The sequence below is a fragment of the Homo sapiens genome, chromosome 7 (genome assembly GCF_000001405.40).
Source record: "Homo sapiens chromosome 7, GRCh38.p14 Primary Assembly".
Classification (NCBI taxonomy): domain Eukaryota; kingdom Metazoa; phylum Chordata; class Mammalia; order Primates; family Hominidae; genus Homo; species Homo sapiens.
Genome location: NC_000007.14, coordinates 22091169 through 22097652, shown reverse-complemented (window position 1 = coordinate 22097652; position 6484 = coordinate 22091169).

Sequence of the window (6484 nt, the reverse complement as noted above, 5' to 3'; positions counted from 1 at the left end):
CCCCACAGCCCAGGCTGACTTACTTTCCAGCCACTTTCACTATAACAGCCTGATTTTGGTTATAAAAATGTGTTAATTTTTTATTGATACATAATGTATATATTTCTGAAGTCTATGTGACAATTTAACACATTCATGTAATTTGTAAAGATCAAAGCAGTGTAATTGGGATATCCGTCACCTTAAATATTTTTGAAACTTCACTGTTACATTCAGTATCCCCCCTTTCAGGGAAGGGCAGAGTCCCATGATCTGGGCCTGTGAAACCAAGAGGGGTGGGGCTGCTATGTTCTCCTCACCCTTTCTTTCCTCGGAGCTCATCTGGTGGGAAGAAGAGACAGGCTGCAGTTCAGGGGGTCCCCAAGACCACCGTCAACTTCCGTTGATTCTCTCGAAGGATTCACAGAACTCAGAAGAGTTGCTATACTTGCAGTTACAATTTGTTACAATGGAGGAACACAGACTAAAATCAGCAGAGGAAATGATACGGCTCTGATGAGTGGAGGAACACCAGGGTTCTTCCTCTCAAGTCAAATTGGATAAAACAACACGGACGCAGTGGTTTTAAGGCGTGGAGAGTTTAATAGGCAAGAAAGAAGGAAGGAAGAAGAAAACAGCTCCCCTGTACAGAGACAGAGACGGGGGATCCAAACAAAGAGAAAACCCCGTGTGGCAGAAAAGTGGTTGCTTATATGAGGAGGCTGGAGGAGGCGGTGCCTGATTTCCATAGGGCTTAGGGGATTGGTGTGACCAGGCACGTCATCTACGTAGCCCACGAAAAAACTAGCCCTCCCACCCTAGCCTTTTAATGTGCAAATACAGGGCGCCACGATGTTCTACATACGTGGAGATATGTGGGGGCGGCCATGTTGCCAGGCATATGTCAGGGCAAGGGCAAGAGGATCACGGTAGGAATCGCCATGTTTGGGTGGACCCAGTTTCTAATGGCCAGCATTTGCATATCAAAGGTTGCCTGCCCGGCTCTAAGAACCAGGGCTTTTCTGCTAGACAAGAAATGTTTCTGGAGCTGCTTTAAAAGAAACAAAAACTTCCTAAGGACCCCTTTTCCTCACTATCTGCCTAAAATAATCTCTTAATAATTCCTATAATAGGAAGAGGTGTACAGAGCAGAGTCCATGAGAGACCAGGCGTGAGCTTCTGGTTGTCCTCTCCCAGTGGAGCCAGGGAGCAGCACTTCCTTCTTCCAGGAATGACATGCGGCAACGTTCACAGAGCATTACTAACCAGGGCAGCTCACCCAAGCCATGGCATCCAAGGTTTTTATTGGGGGCCAGTCATGTAGGCATGGCTGACAGCCCACGTGGCTGACTTCAGTGTCCAGCCTTTAGAGGTTAAGCTGATACTACCTGGCCCAAGACTCCCAGATAAACGAAGACATTCTTATCAGGTAGAATATTTCTAAGACACAGAGGTTAACTCCCAGGAGTTTAGCAAGGGACACACCTTTCCCTTGGACAAGGTTAATCCTTTACTGCCCACGGGCCTATCTTGATGCGACCGCTCATGGCAAGAGTTGGTCACCCTGCTAGGCTAGCTCATTGTCAACACAGATTCCATATCAATGCCGGTAGCCTTAATGAGCCTGGAGAATCTGGGTACTTTGTTCTCTATAGTGCCCTGTACCTATTGTTATCCCCCGTACCATTTTGTAACCCCTGGGGTCAAGAATGAATCTCAATCAGTATTTCTGTATCATCCTGTTACTACAGCAACAGACACAACTTAATATTGCATTCAGGACATCCCTGTTTCAAAAAAAAAAAAAAAAAAAACAAACTCTTGGCATTTGTCTATAATGCAGGCTCCAGCTTTTCACCCAATGCCTCTGCTGTCTCCCCTCTTGGGAGCAAAACCAAATTCTTCCAATTTCAGTTTCTTCTGTCCCTTCCACCAAAGTTTAGCTCCAGGTCAAACTCTGCATATCCAAGTCCATTTAAGAATTTGGCAGAAGCAAAAAGCCTTTCATTCTCCCAGGATCCACTCTCCTAGAAGGCATTTTTGATTATAGATGGCAATTTTTTAAATGTTACAATTACTGCCACATTATTAGTCATCAGTCATGGATGATTCCCTTTTTTAATTGAACCCTCTGCTGCTTCCAACCTGCTACAAGAACTATGGTGCCTACATTCTGGTGGTTGACAGGAACACTTAGCGAGACCAAGGCATTGCTGAATTTTTACTGAATCATCTCATGTTCTTATTGGCATGGGAGTGTGTCAGCGGTGTTGAGGTAACTCTTCTTAGCAAGGAAGTAACCTGATTTGTTGTATGCCCTACTGAATAGCTTTGACTTGCCTTAAATAAATACCTTATGAGGACTGTGAGATTCAATTGAATTGCTTTCATGGATGAAATTCAATTTCATGCATACCGAGTTTCCTCCTAAAAAGAGCTGAGTGTATGTGCTTTGCATGGTGATATGGTTTGGCTCTGTGTCCCCACCCAGATCTTATCCAGCACTGTAATCCCCACGTGTCGGGGGAGGGGCCTGGTGGGAGGTGATTGAATCACGGGGGCAGACGTCCCCCTTGCTGTTCTCATGACAGTGAGTGAGTTCTCACGAGATCTGGTTGTTTTAAAAGTGTTGCACTTCCCTCTTCGATCACCATCTCTCTCTCTCCTGCTCTGCCATGGTAAGACATTCTTGCTCACCTTCACCTTGTGCTATGATTGTGTGTTTCTTGAGGCTCCCTAGTCATGCTTCCTGTTAAGCCTGTGACACTGTAAATTAATTAAACCTCTCTTCTTCATAAATTACCCAGTCTCAGGTAGTTCTTTAGAGCAGTGTGAAAATGGACTAATACTCATGAACATCCCTGCCTTGTGGAAATGGAACACCACAGGTGCACTGTAGGGAAGGGGCTTTGTCTCCTGCTGGCCAGTCAGTGGTTCTGCACTCTAGGCCAAGGCATGCATCTGGTGTGAAAGCACAAGGGCCACCATGGCTCGTTAAGCGTGAAGTGGCCCTAGGGACATTGCTGATTTGAAGGGAAGCAGAGTTGATGGAGTAACACTGGCTGCTCAAACCTCATCCTTTCCAGAGCTTAGTTCCCGGGCAGGATCTTAAGCAGATGAAGTACAGCTGTGAGCAACCACAGAGTTACATGTGCTGATGAGACTTCATCCTGGCATGCAGGGTGGCTTTGGGGCTGTATGACCAGTGCGGTCACATGGGGCCCTGTGCTCAGAATGACCTGTGTATGGGGTATAATGCTTTGTGACTTCCGTATCGAAACTTTTAATAATTTTAGCTTTGAATTTGTGTTTCGTAACTGACATCTATGGGACCATGGAGTATGTGCTGAGGGCTTGAAGGCTCAGCTCGAGTGCAGTCCCTCCTGCCACTGCCTTCCCTCTCTCCCCTGGATGAGCTCTCAGCTTCCTGTGTCCCATGTCCTGGCTCCCCCAGCCCCACGTGGCTTTCTCTTCCTTACCCTCCTACCTTGTGAATACTGCTTCCCGCCATGCCCGGCAGTGCCTGGACCTGGACAAGGCAGGGGGTTGGGCTGGACACATGTGCTTCACGGCATTGGGGGCCAGGGCATGGGTGCACCCCCACTCGGGGCTTCCAGCACCACAGCACAGCTGGAAGGGACTTGGCAGGAATGAGCCTTTTATTCACCCTCTATCCAGTTATCTAGGGCATCCCAACATGGAAGCTGCAATACCCTTGGGAGTTACCCATCCACAATGGCTTAGGGCAGCTGGCCCCTGGGAAGGGGAGATGCCTGACTCCACTTCTCTGTCCCAAGCTATAACATGCTGCGTTGGTCCAGTAACTGACAAGAAAGCAGAGGAACCCAGCAGCCAGGGGACATATACACCAATTCTCCTAGGGGCCTGTGAGAGTCCTCGCTCACTTCTCCACTATCCCCCAAGCCCGAGGACCTGCAACATTAAAAACACAAAATTTTAAAACACAACACACACAGACACATATATGAAAATATATATTTATAGTATTTATTTTAATAATATAATTTTAAATTCACTGGACCCTGAAAATTATGTAGCCAGTTTTGCTGGCATGAAAGCAGTCATTTTTGTAGGTCACAGTTGAAACTACTTAAAAATTTTTAACAGTGTTTCTCTAGCTCCTGCCTGGATTTTGTTGATAGTCAGTATAATGGGCCAAATAATTACCCTAATTCCTGGAACCCATGAATATGTTTTGTCACATGGCAAAGGAGATTTTGCAGATAAAATTTAAGGTAATAGAACTTAGGACAGGGAGAGCATCCAGGACTATCCAGGTGGATGCAATGCAATCACATGGGCCCTTAAAAGTGGAAGAGTGAGAAGAGAGTTAGAGATGTGGTAGGGAAGGGAAATCCAGAGGAAATTCAAAGTCGACCATTGTTGCTGGCTTTGAAGATGGAAGAAGAGAGCCATGAGCCAAGGAATGTGGGCAGCTGAGCCAAGGAATGTGGACAGCCTCTAGAATGAGAACAATCTGCAGCCTCTATCAGCAAGAAAGGGGGACCTTATGGAACATACAACCTCATACAGCCAAATGGAACTCAGTTCTGCCAACAAACTGCATGCTCTTGCAGGTAGACTCTCCCCCAGAGCTTCCAGAAAGGAATGAAACCCTGTTTCCAGCGGAGTTGCAGCCTTGAGACACTCAGGCAGAGAAATCAGCTGAGCCCACTAAACATCAGACCTACACACTGTGATATAAATCTATGTTGTTTAAAATTTCTAGATTTGCAGTCATCAGTTACAGTAACAATTAGAAAACTAATACAATTGGTTGATCCAGTGGCAACAAGAATCTGGCAAGGTCACAGCAAGAGAGAAATGACAGAGAAAGCTCCAGAGGCAGGCACCAGAGGTTAGGCTCTGGTTAAATAGTTTCTCCTGAGGGGCATCGTTAAGAAGACCAGAAGGCTCTGGGTGTATTTAAGAAAGGCTACTTTTCCCCTTCCCCTCTCAGAAGTGCTGGGGGATTTTCTCTAATCTTCATTGTGAAAACCTGGTTTGGCTCCACGAGGAAACACTCATGGGAAGTACAGGAGGCAAGTTGTAGCTCTCAAAATTGTTCCCAGTCGTAATTTGTCAATTACACGTTGACATTTCCTGGTCTCCAGGAGGTTTCTGCTTCTGAGCCCCTCTTCTGGTAAGTTGAGATTCTCTGTATCTACCTGTTTGTCTCTCTAATTTTGGAGGGCAGTAGCTTGTCCTGTTGCCTAAATCCTGCGGTGGACCTATGAAGAGTTTTCAGTTTGTTCAGCTTTTTTTCTTACTGCAGGGATGGGAGAGATCAATTCCAAGCTTCTTTATATGCCAAATGGGAACTGGAAGTCCACTAACAGAATTTAAAAATTTTCCCTACAGTTTATTATATGGGAAGTAGCACAGTTCTAGAAAAGAGCTTTGGAGACCTGGATTGTTATGTTACCTGGCCCACCTCTCCTGACTAGATCTTGTAAAGCCTTGCTGGTCCATCAACTGGCAGCATCCTCCATGCTCAGGAGCTTGTTAGAAAAACAACATCTCAGGCATTCTACCCCAGACCTCCTGAATTAGAATCCACATTAAAACAAGACCCCAGATCACTCAAGGGCTTATTAAAGTTTTAAAGCTATGATAGAAAGTTGCTTCCAAGCTTTGAGCATTAGTTTACTACCTCAGTTCCCAAACCATGCACTGAGGTGCCTGGGGGCACCCTGAGGAACTCAAAGGGGCATTTTTGAGATATTTTAAATGTTTAAGGTAAACACATCTGTCCAACACAATGTGAACTGAACTATCTCACTGCTAGCTTGAGATAGTTAAGTTACAACTGAAATTGCTGTGTTCCTTTTGATGATATTGTCAGAAGCATTTGCACTAGAGCAACTCCATTTGGAATGAGGGCGAGGAAAACGAGGCTGGGACTTGCTGGGGTGCATTCTCAGAAGGTTATGCATTCCTGGTGTATAGATGTTTATGGTGAAGGTGTGTCTGGAATTGGTAGGTTCTTGGTCTCACTGACTTCAAGAATGAAGCCGCGGACCCTCGCAGTGAGTGTTACAGTTATTAAAGATGGTGTGTCCGGAGTTTGTTCCTTCAGATGTTCAGATGTGTCTGGAGTTTATTCCTTCTGGTGGATTCGTGGTCTCGCTGACTTCAGGAGTGAAGCTGCAGACCTTCCCGGTGAGTGTTACAGCTGTTAAAGTTGGCGCATCTGGAGTTGTGTATTCCTTCCGGTGGGCTTGTGATCTCGCTGGCCTCAGGTGGCCTCAGGGGTGAAGCTGCAGACTGTTGCAGTGAGTGTTACAGCTCATAAAGGCAGCAAGATTTATTGCTAAGCGCAAAAGAACAAAGCTTCCACAGAATAGGACGGAACTCAGGCAGATTGCCTCCCCTAGCTTGGGCAGCCTGCTTTTATTCCCTTATCTGACCCCACCCACATCCTGCTGATTGGTCCATTTTACAGAGAGCTCATTGGTCTGTTTTACAGAGAGCTGGTTGGTCC